The 26,129-nt window shown below is 49.2% G+C and overlaps 1 protein-coding gene and 1 pseudogene across 13 annotated transcripts in view, besides 2 other annotated features; one reads left to right on the forward strand and one right to left on the reverse strand.

Moving 5' to 3' along the window:
• The window catches only part of IQSEC2 (IQ motif and Sec7 domain ArfGEF 2), a 95,538-nt gene extending 82,042 nt beyond the window's left edge, over nucleotides 1–13,496 (reverse strand). For all 13 annotated transcript variants that reach the window (XR_938365.3, XM_047441928.1, XM_006724582.5 and 10 more), the window contains exon 1: nucleotides 12,563–13,496. Coding sequence is in view for 12 of the 13 variants with exons in the window: in XM_047441928.1 (XP_047297884.1) it covers nucleotides 12,563–13,269 (707 nt within the window). In the remaining variant the exon portion in view is untranslated. The remainder of the gene's footprint in view (nucleotides 1–12,562) is intronic.
• Nucleotides 9,732–9,781: a silencer, noted in NCBI's record as "silent region_20857". NCBI's record gives its function as "represses an Ori minimal core promoter by ATAC-STARR-seq in GM12878 lymphoblastoid cells {active_cell/tissue: GM12878}" and the evidence as "EXISTENCE:reporter gene assay evidence [ECO:0000049][PMID:35858748]".
• Nucleotides 9,792–9,891: a silencer, noted in NCBI's record as "silent region_20858". NCBI's record gives its function as "represses an Ori minimal core promoter by ATAC-STARR-seq in GM12878 lymphoblastoid cells {active_cell/tissue: GM12878}" and the evidence as "EXISTENCE:reporter gene assay evidence [ECO:0000049][PMID:35858748]".
• On the forward strand, nucleotides 15,173–15,864 carry RPSAP62 (ribosomal protein SA pseudogene 62; annotated as a pseudogene).

Here is a 26,129-nt window from a genome sequence, read left to right on the forward strand (position 1 = left end):
CCACCCTATGCAACAGAGTGAGGCCCTGTCTAAAAAAAAAAAAAAAAAAAGGCCGGGCACGGCGGCTCATGCCTATAATCCCAGCACTTTGGGAGGCTGAGGTGAGTGGATCACCTGAGGTCAGGAGTTCAAAACTCCATCTCTACTGAAAATACAAACATTAGCCGGGCATAGTGGTGGGCACCTGTAGTCCCAGCTACTAGAGAGGCTGAGATGGGAGAATCGCTTGAACCCGGGAGGCAGAGGTTGCAGTGAGCCAAGATCACGCCACCGCACTCCAGCCTAGGCGACAGAGCGAGACTCCATCTCAAAAAAAAAAAAAAAAAAAAAAAAGAAGAGACTTAGTCCTTCAAACTGAAAGGGCTGCTTGAGTACTATTCAGGGTGAATAAAAAACAGACCTTGTTCTGAATGCTGGTTACCTAGGTGTTTGGTTTGTAAAAAGTGACTATATCACTTGTGATATGGTCATATCACTTCTGATATGAGCACTTTTCTGTATTCATATTATATTTCGGTATGAAGTTTTAAAACAATCCTGGGAGTACAAAGGTTGTGTAACTGTGAGTAATGAGGTATAATTACAGTACACTATTTGGCCCTGCGATGACTAATAGTGACATAGTCATAATCACATAAACAGTGTACTGCCAGGTAATTTTTATAATCAATCTCTCTAGATAAAGCATTGAAAACATAATTATTTTTACAGAATAGAATGCAAATGTAATCTACATTGCTAGATACACAAGTACAGAACATAGAGACTGGGAGGTGGAAGAGGGGAAGGAGAGATGGAGGGAAGGATGGCACTAATAACTATGTCTTACAAAGTACGTGGTCAAGAGATGCTGTGGAAAACTGATGAAATAAGAAGTCAGTTTAAAATAGTACTTAATAAAGTTACAAAGGTAACTAATAGAGGAGCCCACACAATAATAAAACTCTCAAAATCTGGGAGGGGCCGGGCGCAGTGGCTCACCCCTGCAATCCCAGCACTCTGGAAGACCGAAGGATGAGGATCACTTGAGCCTAGGAGCTCGAGACCTAACTGGGCAACATAGCGAGACCCCGTCTCTAAAAAAAAAAAATAAATAAAACTTTGCCAGGTGTAGTGGCATGCACCTGTGGTCCTAACTACTCAGGAGACTGAGGCAGGAAGATTGCCTGAGTTCAGGAGTTTGAGGTCATAGTGAGCTGTGATCACACCATTGTACTCCAGCCTGGACCACTGAGCAAGACCCTGTCTCAAAAAAAAAAAAAAAAAAAAGTGGGAAGGAGTGTTGAGAAAGAGTCAGCTGTTGTAAATAAGCTAAATTATTTTGTCATGGTAGGAAAAAGTCAAGATAATGTTTAAAGTTGATAAATAGGAAATACCCATTCAAGCACGTTATTTAGAGATATGAAGTTACCGCCAGAAGAACTAAATGGGAAAAGTGGTTGCATCTGGGGCTGAGAAGCAGGGGATAGGAAGACGTCAGTTTTTTACTACATGAGTCCTTATGTACTACTTTGCCTTTTGAAAATTGTGCATGTGCATTGCTTTGATTTAGTTTGTCAAAACAAGCCCTTCTCTTTCTTTAGAACTCTGGCTTCCACACTGTAAATATGAAATGGGCAGGCTGATGATTCTGGGTGACATGAGGTCCTGTTCTCCAATATCTATGCTTCTTTTGAGAACAGGAGGTAAGAGAGGCGGGTGACGGGTTGGCCCCTCCTAACTAACCCCTTGGTTCCTCACAGCCATCCACACAGATACTGTCTTGGCTGCCCCAGCCTGCTCCACCTCTGGTCCTCTTCAAATCCCACCATCGCCAGTCCAGCCTCTTCAGCCTTACTTTCATTCAACTATTTACACCCATTAGTTATTTATACCTGCTTGAGTCACAAAGGATTTGAGGGTGCTTACTCCAAGAACACAGAATAGAAATTGAACTCGAAAATAAGTCCAAAAAAGAAATCAACAAAGATGCTAGAGCTATGCTTCAAATTAACTGGTGGCTGAGGCAAAAAGGAAGATACAATGAGCTATGACAGCCTCACATTAGGAAGGAAGAAATATACCAGTTTTCAGGGGAAGCAAAGCTTTGATTCGTTAAGTCATTGTCCATGGGAGATTTCATGAAAGAGAAGAAAAATGACTATTTACGGAGCACCTACAGTATCAGGGAATGCCATCGAAATTATCTATTTACGGAGCACCTACAGTATCAGGGAATGCCATCGAAATTACCTTGGCTAACCTTGAGAAATATGCCAGGCATGGTGGCTCACGCTTATAATCCCTGCACTTTAGGGGGCCGAAGTGGGAGGATTGCTTGAGCCTAAGAGTTCAAGACCAGCCCAGGCAACAGAGGGAGACTCTGTCTCTACAAAAAAAATTAGCCGGTCATGGTAGTGCATGTCTGTGGTCCAAGCAACTTGGGAGGCTGAGGTAGGAGGATCACTTGAACCCAGGATGTCGAGGCTGCAGTGAGCTGTGATCGCACCACTGTTCTCCAGCCTGGCTGATAGAAAGAGACCCTGTCTCAAAACAAGCAAGCAAGCAAACAAACAAACAAAAAACTTGAGAAATAGGCATAATAGGCATTGTTATCCCATTTTACAGAAAAACTAAAATTCAGAAAAGGTAAAATGACCTAGCTGAGGCCATCCTGCGGGTTGGGGTGGAACATAGATTCAAATCCAGGTCTGTCTGTCTCCAAAGCTCGTTCTTTATGTATCATATCATCGAGCCTCAAAACAAAGACACCCGGGGTAGAGCTGCCCAGCCCAAGGTAATGGGGATATACTAAAGACAGACACAGGTCCACCCTCTTCCATGAAAACAGAAAAACAGGGATGAGAGACCTGGCTGTCAGGCCAGAAACTGCCTCTGAGCTGCCTCAGTTACAGTAAATGAAGCCACGTAAGACAAAAAACAGCAGAAAGAAGGCTGGGCCTGAGCTAGGGGGAGAAAGAGAACAGCACATTTAAGAAAAGATGCACTGGGCGCAGTGGCTCACACCTGTAATCCCAACATTTTGGGAGGCCGAGGTGGGCGGATCACCTGAGGTCGGGAGTTCGAGACTAGCCTGACCAACATGGAGAAACCCTGTCTCTACTAAAAATACAAAATTAGCTGGGTGTGGTGGTGCATGCCTGTAATCCCAGCTACTCGGGAGGCTGAGGCAGGAGAATCCCTTGAACCCAGGAGGCGGAGGTTGCAGTGAGCCGAGATCGCGCCATTGCACTCCAGCCTGGGTGACAGAACGAGAGACTCCATCTCAAAAAAAAAAAAAAGAAAAGAAAAGAAAAGATGCTCTGAATGCTGGCATTCATACTAGGGTGACTCTTCTAATCAGCGTTCTCTTTTCTGCTCACACCCTGACTGGCCTTATACAAGTCCTTTCTCTCTCTGGGCCTCAGTCTTTTCATCTGTAAAATGAATAGCTTCAGTTGGATGATTTGTCAGAGTCCTTCCAACTTGTGATTTCTTGATTTCTATGCTGGTATTATTAAAACCCTACTGGTCATGAACGCTGCCACTCCTCTGAGCTTCCAGAGCAGGCTGCGCTCCCCTCCATCATCATCTTTCTCCCCACATAGGTTATCTCTACTCCCACTGCCCAAGCACAGGCCTGATCATCTCTCATCTAGACTGCTGTACCAGCCTCCTCCCTGGATACCCTCCAATCTATCTTCCAAACTGCCCTCTAGGGGGATCTCTCCAAAACGTGGCTCTTGACATGTTCTCCCACACCACAATAAGCACCTCTCCCCCAGTTTAAAATGCTACTTGGCCAGGCATGGTGGCTCATGCCTGTAATCCTAGTACTTTGGGAGGCCAGGGCAGGTGGCTCACCTGAGGTCAGGAGTTTGAGACCAGCCTGGCCAATATGGCAAAACCCTGTCTCTACTAAAAATACAAAAATTAGCCAGGCATAGTGGCACACGCCTGTAATCCCAGCTACTCGGGAGGCTGAGGCAGGAGAATTGCTTGAACCTGGGGCGGGGAAGAGGCTGCAGTGAGCTGAGATCACGCCACTTCACTCCAGCCTGGGCGAAAGAGCAAAACTCCGTCTCAAAAAAATAAAAACAAAAACAACACAAAAACAAAACAGCAGAAAGCTCCTGACGCTGCTAGTGAAGTGTCCTCAAGATGTGAGCCGGCCAACCCTCCAGACTCCCCTGCGAGTCTCTCTGTTTGTGCTCTAGTTTGTACTGAACTCATAAAAAAACAAAACAAACAAACAAAAAACCTCCCCATACACATATCCTGCTGGGCCCATACCTCTGTGTGTTTGCTCATGCTGGCCCCTCTGCCTTAACCTCCCTTTTGCCCCCAATTCCCACCAACCCACATGCTGTCCTTCTTCACCTAGCTAACTCAAACTCATCCTCCAAGCCTCAGCTCAGGTATCACCTCCTCCAGTAAGCCTTCCCTGACAGTCCAGGGTGATGTCTCTCCTTTGAGCACCTGTGGCCCCCTGTGCTCCCCTCTGGCATGACACACTGGATAGCACACTGCAATCGTCTATTTCCACCACCACCTTCTCCACCCAATTATGAGCACCTTGAAGCCAGGAACTATATACTAATCATAGAATTCTCTGCCTGTGATGGCACAAGGCATGGCACATCCTGGCATGCAATGTTCACTGGACTGACCTCTCTCTCTGAAATGTGGTGAGCTGCCACATGGTTTCTCCTCCTGTCCTCCCACAGCACAGAGCTTTACAGAGTTATTATTAATAATAATGGCTATCGCTGAGTAAACACATACTGTGTGCTCAGCGCTTCACCTACGTCATCTTATTTAATTTTCACAACCATCACAATGAGATGGGTTGTTTATGAATTGGCTGGCATATCAGATATACAGTTGTGAGAGATGCCTCTCAGATTTATAAGAAAATGTGGGGGAAGAGCCAAGTTAGGTACTTTTCATCACAGATATAATGACAATAATTCTAAAGTGGTTATATGAAGGAAAATATTGGTTTTATTCAGGTGAATGCAGTATGCTGTATCCTGGAATCCAGCAGGAAATCACAGGGCCTGGATATGCAGTCCTATCACTCCTTTAAAAAGGTATAAAAATCACATCGCTCCAACGAAATGCACTAGTGAAACATTAGTGAAATGGTACCTATTAGGTGATGATAGTGATACATTTACATCTAAAATGTTGGAGGAATAATCCTGATCAGCCGTGTAGCTCTGGCTTGTCATCTTTGTTTTGAAAGGGATGCGATGCATCGGTCTTTGCATTGTTGTGTGTTTGCCACATTCCGCCTCTAGGGGGCAGGGCAGTCTCATGTATTATTTTCCATTCTCAGCTTTCCAGCCTGATCAGGACCTTGATGTACGGTATGCCAGGCAGCCAGGAAATTTTCTGATACAATTTTTTTGAGGGAGGTAGGGGGCTGGCAACATGAATCTCATGCATCAGAAAATACAGTTTTATTCCTATTTACTACTTGAGAAAACTGAGGCTCTGAAAGTGAAGTGATTTGCCTAGAGTTACACAAAGTCCTTCCATGGCACCACACTTTCTCTGAATGCTAAGGTCCCAGAGAGCTTCAGCTACTAAGCACTGGGGAATGGGCTTCCCCGTGTAAATGCTTCCAACAGGCAGGCTTGGAGAGAAACCAAATACCATGAGGAAGTTATAGTAACTGGCAAATTATGTTGCCCTAAACGAGCTTCCCCAAAAGAGGAAGTAAGTCACTTACTAAGCATTCTTCCCCATGACCAATGTTTATGATCCTGCCAGGGAACACTGCAGTGAGTGAGGCAGAGGGGCCAAGTCTTATGTCAACCCTGAGATACCATGTCCAGCTCAGGGTCTGAGCTCAAGAAAGGTTTGATGGATAAATAAGCAACTTCCCACTGGGCTGAGTGAACTGCACACAGGTCCTGTGCAGGCCTCTTTGCTCCTTTCAGAACAGAAGACTTGGCATCGAGGGTCAGGACCACAGCCTGACATGGCAGGGAGAGATAATGATCAGCAGATTGGTCTAAATGTCTCCAAAGTCTCGTCCAAGTCTGCTACCTTGACATTCTATGAATCGGAAGGCTGGTGAGCGTGAGAAGAGACAGCAAAGGCCAAAATGGCTCCAGGGAGCATGAGAAAAAAGCCACAGAAAAGCCAAAAGAATTTATTTTTCCTTAGGGATGGGATCTCAATTTGTTGCCCAGGCTGGAGTGCAGTGGCACAATCATAGTTCACTGTAACCTCAACCTCCCTGGCACAAGTGATCCTCCCGCCTTGACCTCCCAAAGTGCTGGGAGCTACTGTGCCTACCCCAAGAGAATTCTGAAGTTGTCATTTCTTACTACAGGAGTCCTGGAAGGAAGAAAAAATTAGGTACCTTTGGCTATTAGTTCAGCAGGACTCAATCAGACATTCATTTATCTACTCAGTATTTATTAAGCAGCTACTATGTGCTGTGCTATGTGTTTCCAAGCTTTTAGCTCCTTCACTCATGCCCACAGCACCTAACACAGAACCTGACACACAAAATGCACTCAGTATATGTCAGTTAAATGTAAATCTGAAGGGGGTCTCAGTCTAACAGAGGGGACATGAGATGTAAACAACCATGAAGGAATAAAAAGGGGCAATGTGCTCATTGAGAGGGTCAAGGATAGACCAAACATCAGAGACACCAGCAAACAGACATAGGAGAGGTAACAGCTGAGTCCAGCCTGGGAACTGGGTACAGCAGCCCAAGAGAAGGGAACAACATGAGCAAAGACCTAGAGGCTAGCAGAAGGCCTGAGTGGGCTAACCAGGGGGGCACACGGGTCAGCCTGGCTGGAGCATAGTCTGTACAAAGACGAGAGGAAAAAGGCAAACTGGGGACAGATCCTAAGAAGACCATGCAGGGCAGGCGGAGGAGTTCTCAGGCCAAAGAGAGAGTGAAACTACTGGAGCTGGACTGCAGAACATGGTCTGGCTGCACCTCATCAGAGGCTTGATGGAGAGAGAGCAGGAGGGGCAATCTACTAGGAGACCATGGCCAAAATTCAGGGGGTGATGGTGAGAGGGAGCCTGCCTAGAGCAGGGGTCCTGGGAGCTCTGTTGGAGGAAGCTAGAGCCACATACCTGGAGTAGCTCTGATGTCTTTAAAGCCCACCTGCGGGAGGCAGCGGTGTACCATAGGTTTGGAAGCCAGACAGTTCTGGGCTCCATCTGCCTGAATAACCTCGGGCAGGTCACTGTACCTCTCTGATCCTTGTTTCCTTGTCTGAAAAAATGAAGATAATAGGCTGGGCGCAGTGGCTCATGCCTGTAATCCCAGCACTTTGGGAGGCAGAGGTGGGCGGATCACCTGAGGTCAGGAGTTCGAGACCAGCCTGACCAACATGGTGAAACCCCGTCTCTACTAAAAATACAAAAATTAGTCGGGGGTGGTGGCACGTGTTTGTAATCCCAGCTACTCGGGAAGCTGAGGCATGAGAATTGCTTGAGCCCAGGAGGTGGAGGTTGCAGTGAGTCAAGAGTGTGCCATTGCACTTCAGTCTGGGCAACAAGAGTGAAACTCATAAAACAAACAAACAAACGAACACACCCATCTGACAGGGGCTCTGTGCAAATGAGGTAAGAAGTAGTGCTCCAGGGTGGGTTAGAACACTGCGGACCCTGAAGCCCAACTCCCTGGGCTCCTCCAGCTCCTTCACAGTTCTGCCACTTATTCATTGAGTGATCCTGGGTATGCTATCCAACCTTTCTGGGCCTCAGTTTCCTCATCTGTAAAATGGAGTTAATAACAATATCTACACGAGAGGATTCATGTGGAGATTGAATGAATTAATACATGGAAAGCGCTTAGAACAAATAGTGCTTAGCACACAGTAAGAGCAGTGAAAAAATGTTAGCTATTATTACATAAAGTCACATAGCGTGGGGCCTGGCAGAAGGCTGAGACTCACTCGGTACACGTGTGGCCTCTTCCCCATGCTCCAGGCCTTTACTCTGCGCCCAGCAAATTCAGAGACCTTGGTAGGCAGGGGTGGGACAGATGAGGAAAGGGCAGGCAGCAAGTCTGGTCTGACGTCTTCCTCCCAGCTGCCACCTCCATGAAGGGACCACTCACATTCCTTCCATACCCCTCATCCCTCACCCACCGCCCAGGTACTCAAACAGCAGCCTGGCCTGGCCTGATCCCTCCTTCCTCTGAGAACTTCCACTCCTCACCATTCTTGCCACTCATTTTGTCCTGAGTGTTGCCTCTATGGCATGGCTAGGCCTGCAACCCTGTCTCCCTGGATGGAGGGGAGCAGGGGTTCTGCAAGCGCTAAGAGTGCAGTGTTTGCTCAGCCTCGTGGCCCCTCCTGCGCTGTGCACACAGCCAAGAAATGTTTGTAGATGATAACAACCCCATTCTTGCCCCAGATCTAGATAGAGAAGCAAGACTCTCATTCTCATTAAATTCAACATTACCATTTCCTCCCACACGAAGATAATGCTCACAACACAGTGGGAGGGAAGATAAATGGTTTTCCCTCCTGGGAAGGAGAGACACCCCCTGGGAAAAGTACCCAAGACCCCAAAGGAGAGACTTCCCTGAGCCTCTCCCTGGGCTCACTGTCTCACGTGCTGTCTCTCAGTGGCCTTAGCCCCTGCGGGGAGCATGCTGACATCCCACTGCAAGCAGACGACAGCATGTGGTAGACCATACACTGCCCTAGCTGTCAAGAATACCACGTTGGGCCGGGCGTGGTGGCTCAGCACTTTGGGACGCCAAGGAGGGAGGACCGCTTGAGCCCAGGAGTTTGAGACCAGTCTGGGCAACACAGAGAGACCCCGTCTCTGCTTAAAAGAATTGGGCGGATAGCAACTAGAAGGGCCAGCCTGGTGTTCCTTTTTTGCAATTATTGCTCACTGCAGCCTCAAACTCCTGAACTCACTTGAGTAAGCTATGTTCGCAACACTGCACTCCAGCCTGAGCAGCAGAGCAAGACCCCTGTCCCAAAAACAAACCAAAACCAAAAAAAAAAAAAAAAGAAAAAGAAAAAAAACACCACCAGGCCAGCCCCTCTAGTTGCTATCTCCAAGTGTAAGCCAGCTTGCAGGGTGGATGGGGGTGGGGGTAAAGGAAGGAGAGTTGCCACCATACCAGCTTCAGCCCACCACCGCCTACAGCAGAGCCGGAGCTGGGCCCATGCAAAGAGCGTGGGAAACGCAGCTCTTCAGCGTGGAGCAACTCAGCAGGGGCCCCTAGCACTCCTATATATCACTCTAGGTGGCAGGACTGCAAGGGGGCCAAGCCAAGATCAACAACAAAAGCAGAGCTATTCTCTAATCAACCAGGCTTGGGGGGGTATGTGGACAATTCCAGGTAAAAAGACCTGAGCATTAGTCAGGACCAACGACTAAAAAGCAAGCAAACAAAACCTTCGCGTACAGAGGACCCAGGACCAAAAGGAGACAGGGACGCATCTCACTCTATCTGCACTAGAAAGGCCACACCCTGAGCACAGCAGAAGGGATACTGGCATCCTGGAACCTGTCCAGAGGGGACGGTGCAGGAGGATATGGGAATCCTGGGTGGATGACATGGATGGGGGTGGACATGACAGCTGATGTCCAATGCAGTAGAGGGAAAGTTCACAGGATTGGGAGTCTGTCTTATGAGTAATGTAAGCTCTGGTGGGCTTCACTTCTCTGATCCCCCAGTTTCTTCTGCTGTAAAATGTGGATCGTGGTGACAGAAGCACGGGATCATTGGGAGGACTAAAGAAAGTCCCTAGGCACAGCGGGGCCCCCCCAACAAGCTGCAGCTCGGCCCAGGCACCACTCTCCCCTCTTCCTCCACCAGGGGGAGCCTGGGGACCAAGAGAGCCCAGCCTGTACCCGCTCTACCTAGCCTCCCCCAATGCTGCAGCCTCTGCTGCTAAACTCCCACCCTGCCTGCCCTCGCTTCCAGCGGCTTCTCACCCACTCCTTACAAACCCAGAACAGACCTAGCAGGGGAGTCGCTTGCAGCAGCAGCAGTGACAGCAATGGCTACTGCATCAACAGGCCCTCCTGATGCCAGGCCAGGAGGGAGAGTGGAAAGGAGGGAGACAGAGCCTTCTTCCCTGCCGCTGTCAACTCCCCACTCATCCCAGACTCATCTCCTCCTGCTCAAATCCTCTAGAGACCTAAGGCTCTCCTGGCCTCTCCTAGCTCAGTGCCAGGCCAGGTCCTGAGGCTAAGAGACTCCTGTGGGTTGGAGAGCTCTAGAGAAAAAAATACCAGGCCTTGGAGACAGGAAGACTTGGGTTCTAGTCCCAGCTCCATTAGCAACTAGTAGGGTAACCTTGAGTGAGGTCCCTTCATCTTGGAGCCTCAGTTTCCCCATCTCTAAAATGCAGTTGCCAACACTCACTGCAGAAGGCTTGTTGTGAAGTCAAAAAGAGGTAATAATGGGTGTGCAAATAGTTAATATATGGTCAGGAGAGAAACTTAAAGTACTACCTAAACCCCTTTATTAATCCAGTAGGAAATGCAAAGCAAGGAAACGCAACAAGCAACCTGGGGGGGTTCACAAAAAGAGGGAAGGACCAAGAGGTAGGCCTGCACGGATAGCAGAAACATGGAGCTCAGGAGCAAACAGGCAACCAGTCAGCCAAGAGATTCAGACCAATGTCTGCAGGGTGGAGAGCCAGAGTCATGGAATCCCATAACTGGGGACGACCCAGGTCATTTCACTGGGCTTTCTACCTGATTCAGGAATCATGCTTCCTCCAGTTCTCCCAGACTCCCACCCGAGCTCCGCTGAGAGCTCCAGGTCCATCCAGCTCCCACCTCCACCTCTCGAGGCAGTCCACTGCACCACCAGAATGCCAGGTTGGAAAGTTCTTCCTAATCTATCTCAAATGTTCCCACTGTTTCGGGTTCTGCTCACTGAAGCCACACATAATGAGTCCGCTCCCTCTGTCACAGGCCTGACCCCTCTAGAAAAGTCTTCTGCAGCCAGGCTCGACCATACCCCATGCAGTCTTCCTCTGCCCCCGGCCCACCATGACCCTCCCTGAATGGACCTTGGTCTACCTCTGTCCCTCTTCCAGTGTGGCGCCCCAAGGCACACAGTCGGTCCTCCCGGACTGAGCTCGCAGCAGCCCTGCCTGGGCAGGAAAGCCCATTTCCTTTGCCCCCAGACTCCTCAGGGGCAGTCCACACTAAAATTCAGCTTAGGGTGTGCTGCAGTGGAGCCCAGCCGAGCCCTCAAGCTACAGCTGCTGCTCCTGGGGCCCAGCCATCTCAACCCAGCACCCCAGCCTGCTGCCTCACCACGGGGGAGTTGCAGAGAGCTGTCTCCCGGCAGATTTCCTGAGGCAGAAGGTTTCCCCACCCCCAGCCCAGCCTCCAAGAGACACTCCACTGGTTGTGGCACATGGTAGGACCAGCTGAGCAGTGAGAGGAGGGGGAAGCCTGTCCATTCGCTACAGGACTTCAGACTTGCTCTGTAGTGTGGCTGGATTAAACATAGAACCATCAAATCTGAGCTGGAGGGGTACTTCAAGATCATCCAAGGCAGACCTTGCCATTTAAAAAGATACGGGGGAACTGATGGCCTAAGAGAGAAAGAGACTCAGTCAAGGTCACAAAGCCAATCTGCAGCAGAGCTGGAAGGGGAACTCAGGTCTCCCAACTCCCAGCTCAGTGTTCCTTCGAATACGGCAGAAAAGAAATAAGGGAGCCTTTAGGGCAGCCTTGGGAGTCTGCACGCCCTTGACTCTCTCAGCCTGATACATGTAACCCAATCAGCTCACCATGGTATCTACACAGAAAAAGTGGACCCAGCCCATGTCCCACCAACCCAAGAGATAGTGCCAAGGTGTCCCAAATAGACACACAGACCCCAGTGCAGGAACTGGAACCGATCCAGCAGAGGGGCAATCTAGACTTCCCTTCCCGGTAGGGCTCTTTAAATGGGTGTTGTTTTTCTTGAAGGGTGGAGAGGGGGTGGACTTTGAGGAACTAGCCAAGGGCTTGGCCTCCATCTTTGCTCCCCCATCTTTGCTCCCCCCGGCCAGAATGTGCTGCAGTTCCCTTCAGAGGGATGTCTCAGCCTCCAGCAGCCATTCTGGTCCCCACCTGCCTCTTTGGTAAGGGATGGAGCTGAGGCGGCCAGAGGAGAAAAGATCAGGCAAAAAGAAAAAGGAAAAAAAAAAAAAGGCGGGGGTGGGGGGCTTTCTCTCCCCTGGGGCTCTGAGTAGACACCCTCGCCGACCATAAAAATTCCAACCAGCATACCCAAAATAAATAAATAAATGAAAACCTATCTTCTGGCAAGGATGCAGCTAGGGGTTGAAGAAGTGGAGGCGGGGGAGGCGGCGATGACTGCTCTAGTCCCTCGCTGGCCGCGGTACCGGGAAAGAAGAGACGCCTGCACTCATCTGGCCAACCCAGCCTGGGGTGGCCAGGGAAGGGGTGTCGGCTGGATGAGGGGGACCTGGCTTCTCCTGGCGGGTTGGGACAGGAGAGGAAGACACGGAACCAGACACTGGCTTCTTACTCTATCAGCTGGACAAGTTGGAGAGGGATCTAGAGGGAAGAGCCGGGGGTACAAACACACATTCCTTACTTTCTCTGGAGGGTCGTGGCCGGGCTGGTGCTGGTACTGGTGCTGTGGCCTCCGCCGGCGCCGGGACTGGAGCTCCTGGATGCGCCACGGCTCAGCTGGCCCCGCTCCCGCGGTGGCCGCGGCCCCACGCCCACCGCCGCCGAATAGCCCGCTTCCTTCTCGCGGCCCGGGTGCGCCGGCCCGGCCTCCCGCCCGCCACGCTCGCGACCCAGGGCTGGGTTCTCGTGGTGCAGGTGGCACTGGGCCACGTCACGCTCGCGGGCTGTGTAACCGGTAGTGTCCTGGAGCGGGTAGGAGGCGTCCCGCTCCTTGTCCCGATACACAGCCTCCCGATTCTGGTAGGCGCCTTCCCGGTTCGGGTAGCCCACGTCCCGGGCCGCCTGGTGGAACTGGCTCTCCCGCAGCTCGCGGTGGTGGAACTGGGTCTCGCGCAGGTTCTGGTACTGGCTCTCGCGGCCCGGGCTATCCCGCGCGCCGTGGGGGTCCCGGTGCAGCTCCCCGCGGTGCAGCTGGCTCTCCTCTCGCAGGTCGCGGTTCTCCTGGGTGAGCTGGTCCAGCTGGCCCTCCAGCTCCTCGATGCGCCGCCGCTGGGTTTCCAGCAGCTGCTGCTGGCTCTCGATGATGTTGTTCAGCTCCAGCAGGTACTCCACGGCCCGATTTGGGCTCTCGGATCCCGGGCCGCCCGGGGGCCCCGACCCCGCCTCCATCCTGGCGGCCCAGGGGCAGGGGAACGGGCAGGAGAGCCCTGTCCCCGCTCTCTCACGGCGCCACCCTCCCCCGGGCCCAGCCGGGGGAGGGGGCCGGCGGGACGCGAGGGCGCGCACCGGGCTTGAGGGCCCGGGGGCCCTAGGGGGCCCGGGAGACAGCGCTGGGGCCGGCGGCACGGGGAGCAGGAGCTGAGGCTGCCGCCGCCACCACCACCACCACAGCCACTGCTCGGGAGGACGCGGCCCACGGCGCTCCGCCCGCTGCGGAGTCACTGCGCAGCGCGGCCGCGCGGGACCGCCCCGGCCGCCGGCCCGCCCCCCGCCCCTGCCCCCACCCGGCTCGCCCGGCCCGCCCCCGCGCGCCCCACCTGCGGCTGCCACCCGCACCCGCAGCTGGACTGGCCCCAAGGCACCGGCGCCCGGCCAGGGCCAGCCCCCATGACAGCCCGCAAGAGATCTCTCCATTCCACCCGTCCCTGGGTCCTCACTTAACGGAGCCTAAAGAAGCCCTCCTTCCCAGAGTCCGCCCGTCCCTCGGGTTCGCCAGGTTGGGGATCTTCATCCAAAGCCATCCCGGGAGGAACCCCCATCCCAGGCAGTCCCCAGGTCCCGACAACCCGTGGACTCCCCATGCCCTAGGTCTGCCAATCCCAAGCAGTGTCAGATTCCCCTTCCTAGCCAGCCCCTGTGTCTTCTACCTCAGGCGACCTCCCTCCAGCCCCCATCATGGGCAGTCGTCCCTGAGTCTCCCATCCTGGCCAGTCCCTTGACTGTCTGCAGCTGCCCTCATCCCAGGCATCCCTTGGGACTCCCAAAGGATGCGCACACACACACTCATGTACAACATCGCAGGCATCTCCCACTCCAGCCAGCCCTTACACTCTCCATTCAAACCAGTGCCCAGATCTCCTACCCCAGCCAACCCCAGAATCCCCCATCTCAGCCAGTCCCCGGGTCCTCTAACCAAGGCAGTCCAGGATCTCTCAACTCAACAAGCCCTGGGACTCCACATCACAGCCAGTCTTGGGATCAAGGCTCCATTCATTCAACCAACCCTCATTTCCTGCTCTCTTTTAGAAATGCTCTCCCCATTCACTCCATCATCCCCATCCACTGAAACTGTACCCATCCTTCAAGACTTAACTCAAATGCCACCTTACTGAAGCCAACCCTGATTTCCTCAGCCAGAAGTGCAAGTTGCTGCTCTCTCTCTCTCTCTCTCTCCCCTCTTGACCTCCTGCTGCACTCCCTATCTTGTGGAATTTGTGGAACAAGTGGAACTTGCTTTACAGCACATTCGTCTGTGTTCTTGTTTTATGTCCTCTGCCAGACGGAGCTCCTTAAAGACAGAAACGTGTCTTAATTTATCTTTGTGAGCAGGTTGGGTTAGAGGAGAAAACATGAGTTTTACAGTCAGACAAAACTGGATTTAAATTCCATCTTCTCTCTTAATTTCAATTTCCCTATCAATAACAGCTACCTGACAGGGTGGTCTTGGATAAAAGCATGCAAAAAACACCTTGCACAGAAAAGACAACCCACAGAATGAGAGAAAGTATTTGCAAATCATGTATCTGATAAGGGACTTGTACGTAGAATATATAAAGAACTCTTACAGCAACAAAAAGACAACTATTTTTTTTTAATGGGCAAGGAATTTGAATAAACATTTCTCCAAAGAAGATATACAAATGGTCAATAAGCACATGAAAAGATGCTCAACATCATTAACCATCAGGGAAATGCAAATCAAAACCACAATGAGCTCTCAGTGCTACCCATCAGGCGTTTCCTGCATTCTCCCATAACCTAAAGGGAAACTTCCACAATGTCTGGAGCCCTTAATGTCCTGCAGATGAAGGAAGAGATATCCTCAAATTCCTTGCAGCAGAACCCCACTTGAATGGCACCAACCTTGACTTCCAAATGGAACAGTACATTACAGAAGGAAAAGTGGTGGCATCTACATCATAAATCTGAAAAGGACCTGGAAGAAGATTCTGCCATTGTTGCCATTGAAAACCAGACTGATGCTAGTATTATATCTTCCAGGAATACTGGCCAGTGGGCTGTGCTAAAGTTTGCTGTTTCCACTGGGGCCACTCTTATTGCTGGGCACTTCACTCCTGGAACTTTCACTAATCAGATCCAGGCAGCCTTCCAGGAGCCACGTCTGCTGGTGGTTACTGATCCCAGGGCTGACCACTAACCTCTCACAGAGGCATCTTATATTAACTTGCCTATCATTGCTCTGGGTCACACAGAGTCTCCCCTGCACTGTGTGGACACTGCCATCCCATGCAACAACCCAGGAGTTCCCTCAGGGGGTCTAGTGTAATGGATGCTGGCCCAGGAGGTTCTGCACGTGCGTTGTACCACCTCCCGTGAACACCCATGGGAGTTATGCCTGATCTCTATTTCTGCAGAGATCCTGAAAAGATTGAAAACGAAGAGCAGGCTGCTGGAGAAAAGGCTGTGACCAAGGAGGAACTTCAGGGTGAATGGACTGCGCCAGCTCCTGAGTCTACTGCTATTCAACCTGAGGGTACAGACTGGTCTGAAGGCATGCAGGTGCCCTTTGTACCTATTCAATAATTCTCTACTCAAGTTTGGAGCACTCAGCCTGCCACTGGAGGCTGGTCTGTAGCAGTCACTCTCAGATAGCTGACTGGATAGGAATAACCACTGAGTGGTCTTAAGCTATTCTTCCACAGGCTCTTGAACAGAAAACAGAAATCAGATTGACGGAAAATAAATATCAGTTTCTTAAACACACACACACACACACACACACACACACACACACACACACAGAGATACTACTTCACATCCACTATGATAGCTAAAATCCACAGAACAGACAATGAGAAGTGTTAGCGAGCATGTAGAGAAATTGGAACCCTCATTCATTGCGGATGGGAATGTAAAATGGTGCAGTCACTTTGGAAAGCAGTTTGGCAGTTCCTCAAAATGTTAAACATAGAGTTAGCATATGATCCAGGGATTCCACTCCTAGGTATATATCCAAGAGAGATGAAAACATACATCTACATAAAAACTTGTACATGAATGTTCACAGCAGCATTATTTGTAACAGCCTGAAAGTGGAAGCAACCAAATGCTCATCAGTTGATGAATGGATAAACAAAATGTGGTATGACCACACAATGGAATAGTATTCAGTCATTAAAAAGGAATCAAGAACTAATACAGGCTAAAACACGGATGAACCTTGAAAACATTATACTAATGAGAAGCCAGTCACAAAAGACCACATATTGTATGATTCCTTTTATATGAAATCCTAGAATAGGCACATCTATAGAGACAGAAATTAGAGTAATGGTTGCCGGGTCTGGAGTGTGGGTGGCAAAATGGGGAAAGACTGCTAACGGGTATGGGGCTTTTTTGGAGGGGGATAAAAATGTTCTAAAATGAGGCTGGTCCAAAGGCAGTGAGTTATCTCAATTGGTTGTTCACAGTCAATTACAGATCGAACTCCTTGTTCTACTCTTTTCCCATCTCTCACTACTGCACTTGACTAGTCTTAAAAAAAAGAAAAAGAAAATGTTCTAAAATTAAACTATGATGATGGTTGCACAATCCTGCCCATATACTAAAAACCACTGAATTGTACCCTTTACAAGGGTGAATTTTATGGTATATAAATTATATCTCAATAAAGCTTTATTAAAAAAAACACCTTGCACAGAGCTATCACATAACAACACCTACAATGGTAATAGTTAACATGTCTCTGGCGCTTACTGTGTGCCAGGCACTGTGCTACACACTTTACATATAAGGACTCACTTAACCCTCATGACAATCCTATGTGGTAGGTACTATTATTACCTCCCATCTTACAGATGAGGGAAGTGAAACAGAGAGGTTGAGTGACTTGCCCAGGGTCACACAGAGGCATAGTGAGGATACTCAGATGATTCATTCTCACTTCTCACTTTATATTTTCCCTCAGTACCTTGTACAAAATAAGTGCTCCATAAATGTTAAAGTAATACAGTATATCCACCAAATATGTCCATTCATCCAACAAACACTAGCAGAACATTATGTTCTAGGCAATGCGTATGTTTCCGTCCTTATCTTGTTTCTTCTATTGTTCAGATGCCCTCTGGGGTTAAAGCAGATGGGTATTTAGATTTATTTACAAACTATTTTGTCTACAATAAGTAAAGTACTGCTGTCCACCACTGAGGATATAGCAATGAACAAAATAGGACAACGATCCTTAACCTCATAGCGCTAACATTCTAGTGGCAGAGACAGACAAGAAGCAAATGGAATATGTAGGGCGCACTGGATGGTGAATGAGGTTGAATAATGTCCCCCCAAAATTAATATCCACACAGAAACTGAATGTGACCTTATTTGAAATAAGGGTCTTTGCCGACGTAATCAACTTAAGATGAGGTCACACTGGATGAGTACAGGCCTTAATCCAATGACTAGTGTCCTTAAAAGAAGGAAAATTAGATGCAGAAACACACATACGTGAAGAGAACGCCGCATGAATCTAGCAGTAGAGATTGGAAAGATGAATCTATAAGCCGAGGAATGCCAAGGACTGCCACAGCCACTAGATGCTGTAAACGGCAAGGAAGGATTCTCTCCTAGAGCCTTCAGAGGGAGCATGGCCGCGCTGACACCTGGATTTTGGACTCTCAGCCTCCAGGGCTGTGAGGGAAACCACTTCTGTTGTTATAAGCACCCTGTCTGTGGTATTTTGTTATGGCAGCCCTGGGACACTAATACAAATGGTGACAGGTGCTCTGGAGAAAGACAAGGCAGCAAAAGATGATAGAGAGGCTTCGGTGAATCAGATATAGCCTCTGCCCTCAGGGAGCTCCCAACCTACTCAGAGAGCCACAACAATAAGTCACAAACATGACTAATGAGACAGAATGTACAAAACACTAGAGCTGAGGTACAAGGATGGCGGGGAAGGGTTGGGAGGTCTTTATGGATGTGAAAGTCCTTGAGCTAAGCTAGGATTTCAACAGGTAGAAGGTACTAGAACTGGGCAAGACCTGCTAATAGGAACCCTGTGCCTGTGAGGAAAGGAACAGGGTCAGGAAAACAGTGTCTGTTTAGGGAACCACATGTAGTTTGGTTGAAGACAGCGCAAGAGACGTGTGTGGTGTGTGTATGTATGTGTGTAGCAAGGGATGGGAGATGGGAAGACAGAGCTTGATTCAGCTTAGAGAAAACTCCATTGCCAAACTGAAGGATCTGGATCTTCCCTTATAGGCAATGAAAAGCCATGAAAGGTTTTTGAACAGGAGAGTGACACGGTAGGGAGAGTGACATGGTGGGAGGGGAGGGGCCCACGTGGATATTGCACGCACCAAGTATCACACACTACAAGGTGAGTTTAGCATTGGTTCATTGTTGTTGTTCATCAGAAACTGTGGTACTACCTTCTTTACCCACCTGCTGCCTCCCAGAGTCATTTCCCAGAAGCCTCAGTCCCTGGGACCAGCTTTGCCAAGCAACGTGGAGCTAGAGCAGAAAAGAGCCTTAAAAACCACATCTCACCACTGCCAGGATCTAGTCAACAAGAACCCGTCAGAATACTGAGAACCATGAAGCATTTGCCTCAGATCCAAAGGTGGCATCTGTTCAAATTGGTTTTTCCTACTGGATCCTCACAGCTCTCTCCCTTCCGTGAGCAGACCTTTTCTCCCAAACCTGTTAGCTGCCAAGCACGAGGTGGGAAAATCAAAATGAAAAAAACATTGGTCTGGCTGGGCGTGGTGGCTCACACCTATAGTCCCAGCATTTTGGGAGCCTGAGGCGGGAGGATCACTTGAGGCTAGGAGTTTGAGACCAGCCTGGCCATGATGGTTAAACCCTGTCTCTACAAAAATTAAGGCGTGTAAGCGCATGCCTGTAATCCCAGCTACTGGGGAGGTTGAAGCAGGAGAATCGCTTGAACCCAAGAGGCGGAGGTTGCAGTGAGCTGAGATCATGCCACTGCACTCCAGCCTGGGTGACAAAGCGAGACTCTCTCGAAAAAAAAAAAAAAAAATTGGTCTTTCTCTCAGACTTTACAGTCCAGAATATCAGAGCTGAAAGGAAGGAACTTAGAGGTGAATTCCATCTCCAGATAAGAACACTGAGGACCAGAGAGAAGTGATTTGCACACAATTGCTATGATCAGTCACCACTAGGATATGACCCTTTTCTCAGGCTATTTCCTGCGGTCTGGTGTTCCAGAGTCTTAAGATTGCAGACTTTAGAGGGCAGAAAGGTAGGAAAGTAACCATCTGTGAGGAACATAGAAGAAAAAAGAAAAGGAAAAGGAAGATTCTCTTCTCTGTGGGGATCCCTAAAGAGATAGCGGTGCTTAAAACTGAGACGGCATTTGGCTAATTAATTAATTATCCTTCCAGCCCCCTTTCCCCTAGTGGGGGAAGGGGTGAGATGTAACCAAAATACCTATCAGTCTCAAACAGCTGCACAGAAAGCAATTCTAATAGGCAAGTCTGGGGTTTCGTTTTAGGAAAATTTTCTCTCTGAAGATGATTTGTAAGCTTGATCCTGTCAGAACATAAAACCACATAACCCAATGTGTTTCCAATTTTGTCCTAGCTGCCATAAAACTTTGAGCCAAATTCAGAGTCCAATTATAATCCAGTTCATTTTAGGTACCTGGCAACATCTATTCGTGCTTCCTTTACATGGTATCTGGTCTGTTTTCTTCCACATTTTTATCCCTAATTGTCTTTCTTTCATGTTATAAACTGATGAGTCGCCTAATATCCTCTTTAAAGTAGGCGGGATATAAATCTTACATAAACTAAATTATATTTACAGATGCTAAGGGGATTTGAAACAATGAAGAACATTTGAAGGAACAGATGATATTTGGCCTAGAGGAGAGCAGGCTTATGAGGACATGATTACTGTCTTCAAATATCCAATAGGCTGTCAGGGGGGCAATGTAGTGGAATTATTCTGCTTAGCTCCAAAGGGCACAGCCAGAAGCAATTGGTGAAAATTACAGAGAGATGATCCCAGAGGGAAGAAAGCTCTCACAGGCGATGCTTGGCGAAGATGGCGAGTTCACTGTCATTGGAGGTCTTCAAGTAGTGGCTGGACAGCCTCATCAGGAGGGTCTGTTGCCTAGGGAATGGAAACACTACATGGAGGAGTTGAATAAGATAATTTTGGCCAGGCACAGTGGCTCACGCCTGTAATCCCAGCACTTTGGGAAGCCAAGGTGGGAGGATCACTTAAGCTCAGGAGTTCGACACCAGCGTGGGCAATGTAGTGAGACCCTGTCTCTACTGAAAAAAAAAAAAAATTAGCTGGATGTGGTGGCACACATCTGTGGTCTCAGCTACTTAGGAGACTGAGGCAGGAGGATTGCTTGAGACCGGGAGGTTGAGGCTGCAGTGAGCTATAATTGTGCCACTGTACTTCATCCTGGGAGACAGGAGACCTTGTCTCTAAAAAAGAAAAAAAAGATAATTTTAAAGGCTCCTTCCGGCCCTGATTTGCACTACACAGTCCTAGATGTAGAAAAGAAGTCTGGCCGGGAGGTAAGGAGGGGGGACAGGAAAAAAAGAAACAAAGGTCTTTGAATGCTGGAACATTCCAGCCAGAAGCAATGAACCCTGACAGCCCCTGAGACACTCCTGAAAGGAAGAATGGTCCATAAACAGAACTCAAGCCTGCATTTCCCCAGTCCTACTGCATGTAACTCCTACAGGGCAGGAGAAATCAAAAAATCCGTTCCATTGCTCTCCACTGCCATCTAACTGGCTATTATTCAAGGAAGAACAGGTCAAGACTGCTGGAGCTGGAAAGAACCTTAGAGATCATGTAATCCAAACCCCTCATTTTATAACCGGATAAAAAGAGGCTCAGAGAGTTGAAAGGACTTGTCTCCTTGTTTGCTACTCCACCAGGGCCGTGGTGGAGTTCACTGTCATTGGAGGTCTTCAAATAGTGGCTGGACAACCTCATCAGGAGGGTCTGTTGCCTAGGGAATGGAAACACTACATGGAGGAGTTGAATTAAGATAATTTTGGCCAGGCATAGTGGTTCACGCCTGTAATCCCAGCACTTTGAGAAGCTAAGGTGGGAGGATCACTTAGGCTCAGGAGTTCAACACCAGCGTGGGCAATGTAGTGAGACCCTGTATCTACTGAAAAAAAAATTAGCTGGATGTGGTGGCATGCATCTGTGGTCCCAGCTACTCAGGAGACTGAGGCAGGAGGATTGCTTGAGGAGGGCAGAGATGGTTTTGTTGACCTTTCAATCCCCCAACCAGGCTTGGCCCTGGGTTCTTGCCCACTGTGGGTGAACAGTAAGCAGTTGGAAAATGGAACTGAATTGCCCAGAGGCACTGCAAGTAGAAGCTAGGCCTTTCAACCCCCAACCTATGATGCTTTCCATAACAAAATCTCATTCAATTCAGTTCAACAAACATTTATTGGTTTCTCTATGTGCCAGATCTGGAGCTACAGTAAAAGATAAACCAGAGGCAAGCTGTGCCCTCAAGGAGCAAACATTCCTCCAGGGAGCTAGGCTCTTCCCACCTCGGGCCCTGCACACCTGCTGTTCCTTTGGCGCGGAAAGTTCTCTTTGCTGCCTTTGCCCACTAAACTGCCTATTCATCCTTCAAATCTCAGATGAAATGTTGGCTCATCAGCGGCACCTTCTCTCACTCCCAAACTGGGCAGATCCCTCTGATACATTCTCTCAGTGAGTCCTTTTCATTCCTGAACTTAGCAAGTTTGTAATTCTATATTGATTTGTGCAGTTCTTGGTTTGCTAACCTCCTGCCTCCTCATTAGACTGTTAGCTCTACAAGGGCAGATACTGTGTTTTGCTTCCCACTGTATCATAAGCCTGGCCAAAAGCCAGGATAAGCAGTCCATGTTTGTTGAATGCATGAATCGACAACCTAATCGATTATGTAGACAGATAAATCATAACTACAATTCAATGTGATAAGAGGTATAGGGTAATAGAGAAATCATTTCTTTCTTTCTTTTTCTTTGAGACAGAGTTTCACTCTTGTTACCCAGGCTGGAGAGCAATGGCGAGATCTCGGCTCACTGCAACCTCTGCCTCCCAGGTTCAAGCGATTCTCCTGCCTCAGCCTCCCCAGTAGCTGGGATTACAGGCATGCGCCACCACACCCGGCTAATTTTGTATTTTTGTAGAGACAGGGTTTCTCCATGTTGGTCAGGCTGGTCTCGTACTACCAACCTCAGGTGATCTGCCTGCCTTGGCCTCCTAAAGTGCTGGGGTTACAGGCGTGAGCCGCCGTGTCTGGCTGAAATCATTTCTTTAGAAAGGAGGAGGCCAGCTCCTGCATCTATGGAGCTGGCCTTGGCTAGCCTTGCAGAACGCATATACGGCCAGACAATCAAAGCATGGGGCAAACGGCATAGCTTTGTGAAAGCGCCCATTGTGTTCAGACAAACCAAAGCTACTTGTCAGCATCTCTCCATTTCCCCAGTCCCCTAGGAAGCAGGCAGTTCTGCCACAGTGGGACAGACTGGCCACCACCTGCTGATTCGGGTTCGGGCACAATTGGCAGTCAGACCACAGGGCAGAACTGAAAGGAAACTCCTGGAATTCGGAATTCACAAATCTCTCTATTTCTCAGGATTCTGCTCTCCAGGAGGAAGATTGAGAGATCTGATTGGGGCCGGGTGCGGTGGCTCACGTCTGTAATCCCAGCACTTTGGGAGGTCAAGGCAGGTGGATCACCTGAGGTCAGGAGTTAGAGACCACCCTGGCCAACATGGTGAAACCCTGTCTCTACTAAAATACAAAAAATTAGCCAGGCGTGTTGGCGTGCGCCTGTAATCCCAGCTACTTGGGAGGCTGAGGCAGGGGAATCGCTTGAACCCGGGAGGCGGAGGTTGCAGTGAGCCGAGATCGTGCCACTGCACTCCAGCCTGGCAACAGAGCAAGATTCTGTCTCAAAAAAGAAAAGAAAAAAAAAAGAGAGAGAGATCTGATTGGTCCTGGAATGAGGGATCAGTTCTGCACCTTTCCGGTGGGATAAGACCTACTCCCAGGCATAAGAGAGTATTGCCCTCTAGTGGTAATAATAATGATAATGATGATAATGATAATGATAATGATAATGATAATGATAATAACAACTAGTGGATGTGGTCCTTGCTTGGGAGATCAACCATACCCGTTTGCCCAAGATTGTTTTAGCACTTGAAAGACCCACATCTCAAGAAACCTCTGAGTCTCAGGCAAGCCTACTCCTTGATGGTGTTCAATGCACTCGTATACACATGATCTCATTACATGGCTCCTAACCCTCGATGCCAGGAATCAGGATTCAGTCTGCACAGATCTGTAGAGCTTTAGAGATCCAGCCCATTTTCCAGATGAGGAAACAAAGCCCAAGAGGAGGGAAAAAATTTCCTTCGTCAGCATTACATTACAAATTAATGGCAGAACCAGAATCAGCATCTAGGTGTCCAGGTCCACAGCCCCGGCCACTGTTGCCCCTGGCTGGCATGCCCTCAGCTACTCTGTCAGTTTGTCTAGGTCCCATGTCCTCCAGACTCGCTAAACTACTCACCCCTTAATCCTTTCAGAAAACTTCCCCCTCTGAAAGCCTGAAACACTCATTTGACACTTAGCATGTGCTATAGGTACCGTTTTTTATCCCTTAAATGTATAGTTCAAAAAAAAGAAAGCTCCTCAGCTCCCCACAAGCCCAACCCCCAGAGATACTAACAAGGAGAGCGGCCTCTGGTCAGAAGAGTCTCAGGAGTGGCCCTAGTTGGTCCAGGGCCCCGAGGAAAGTGCATTTGGCACTGCAGAGCAAGAAAGGAAGCAGAGGGAGGCTTTTGCAATCACCAGGTGGGATGGATTTGAGAGCCAAGAGCTGAGGAGAGGTGAAAAGGCATCCTTGCAGCCTCAAGACAAAAGGAGAAAGTGAGAGCCTTCTTTGCCCCAGGGATGCCGCCAGGGAATGGGTCCTGCTTTTTCTGCTGCCAAAATTGCTGTGCCCTTCTCCGTTCCCCTGGTCCCTGACAAGGACCCCCAAAATCAGCTCTTGCCTTTCCCCTCCACTGAGACAAATTTGCAAACTCCCACATCTCTGTGGAAACGGCAGAGAGCAGGAGAGAAGAAAAAAGGAGAAAAAAATCCACCCACATGCCAACAAACTGGAAAAAAAATAACCCAGGCCTTGTCGCACTCAGCTGTTGGCTTGCTGCTCCCTCCCACTGTGGCGGCTGCTCCTGCCTCCTGGACATGGACCCAATGCTGTGCAGTTCCCCTTCCCATCTGGAGCTGGCTTTTGTCAATGCCCCTTGTCCCTACCCCCACCCCAGCTCTGGGAGAGAGAGTCCTGGAGTCCAGGAGGAGGAAAGCTGGAAGGGAGGACCGGCAGAGCCACCCAGGGCTGTGGCTGACCACAGACTCTGTGCCCATCACCGTCTCCCAAACTATGGAGGGGAACTTCCTCCCCTCCCAGGGAAATAAGTTAAGGAGATGGGGCACTGCCCACAGGCTGGCCCCACCAGGCCACTTCTGTCTCAGAGGCTGTCCCCTGCGTCTTCTGTCCTCCCTCCCCCAAGCCCTTCCCCTTGGCTGCCTCTCTCTACCATTTTCAAGCTCTGTTTTCAGTCTAACTCCTTCTATTTTCATCTTTTTGTGCCCTCGCCTTTCTTCACCTTCTGCTCCAGTTCTGGGCACCATATTTAAACAAAGCAAAACAAAACAAAATGGAGTGTGTTGCTAGGAAAGGAGGGATGTAGAAATCATCACTATTAGGAAAACGGAGATGTTTTGCCCGTAGAAAGGAGGATATGGACTCAGAGGAGCATGGAAGGATAGAAACACAAGGAGCTTTTTGGATAACCTTATTTTACAGATGAGGTGATCGAGGCCCAGAGAGGGAAGAAGACCTGGGGCTACCATGCAGAAGAGGGGACAGCTTTGTTCTGTGGGCCTCCAGAAAAAAGAAGGAGGACCAGTGAGTACGATTTATGAAAAGGCAGATTTATTTATTTATTTATTTAGAGACAGAGTCTCACTCTTGTTGCCCAGGCTGGAGTGCAGTGCCATGATCTCAGCTCACTGCAGCCTCTGCCTCCAGGTTCAAGCAATTCTCCTGCCCCGGCCACTCGAGTAGCTGGGATTACAGGTGCCCACCAACATGCCTGGCTAATTTTTGTATTTTTAGTAGAGACAGCGTTTCACCATGCTGGCCAGGCTGGTCTTGAACTCCTGACCTCAAGTGATCTTCCCGCCTCGGCCTCCCAAAGTGCTGGTGTTACAGGTGTGAGCCGCCCGAGAAGGCAGAAGATTTAAATGACAGTTTTGTTTCTTCCTTCTAAATCCGTATTCCTGTTGTTTCGTTTCTTTGCCTTGTTTTGCAGGATCTCCAGTTCAATTCTGACCAAAAGGGATGATAATGAGCATCCTTGTGCTGTTACTTATGTTAAAGGGGAAGATGTCAATGTTTCATCATTAGACATGGTCTTCACTGGAGGATTCGGAGGATTTTGGAGGATAGTCTTTACTCTTTATCAGGTTAGGGAAGTTTCCTCTCATTCCTTTTTTTTTTTTTTTTTTTTAAGACAGGGTCTTGCTCTGTTGCCCAGGCTGGAGTGTGGTGGCGCCATCACAGCTCACTGCAGCTTTGACCTCCCAGGCTCAAGAGATTCTCCCACCTCAGCCCCCCTAAGTAGCGGCGACCACAGGTGTATGCCACCACACCTGGCTATTTTTTGTAGGGATGAGGTTTCACCATGTTGCCCAGGCTGTCTGGAACTCCTGGGCTCAAGCGATCTGCCCATCTAAGCTTCCCAAAGTGCTGGGATTACAGGTGTCAGCCA

The sequence above is a fragment of the Homo sapiens genome, chromosome X (assembly GCF_000001405.40).
Source record: "Homo sapiens chromosome X, GRCh38.p14 Primary Assembly".
Classification (NCBI taxonomy): domain Eukaryota; kingdom Metazoa; phylum Chordata; class Mammalia; order Primates; family Hominidae; genus Homo; species Homo sapiens.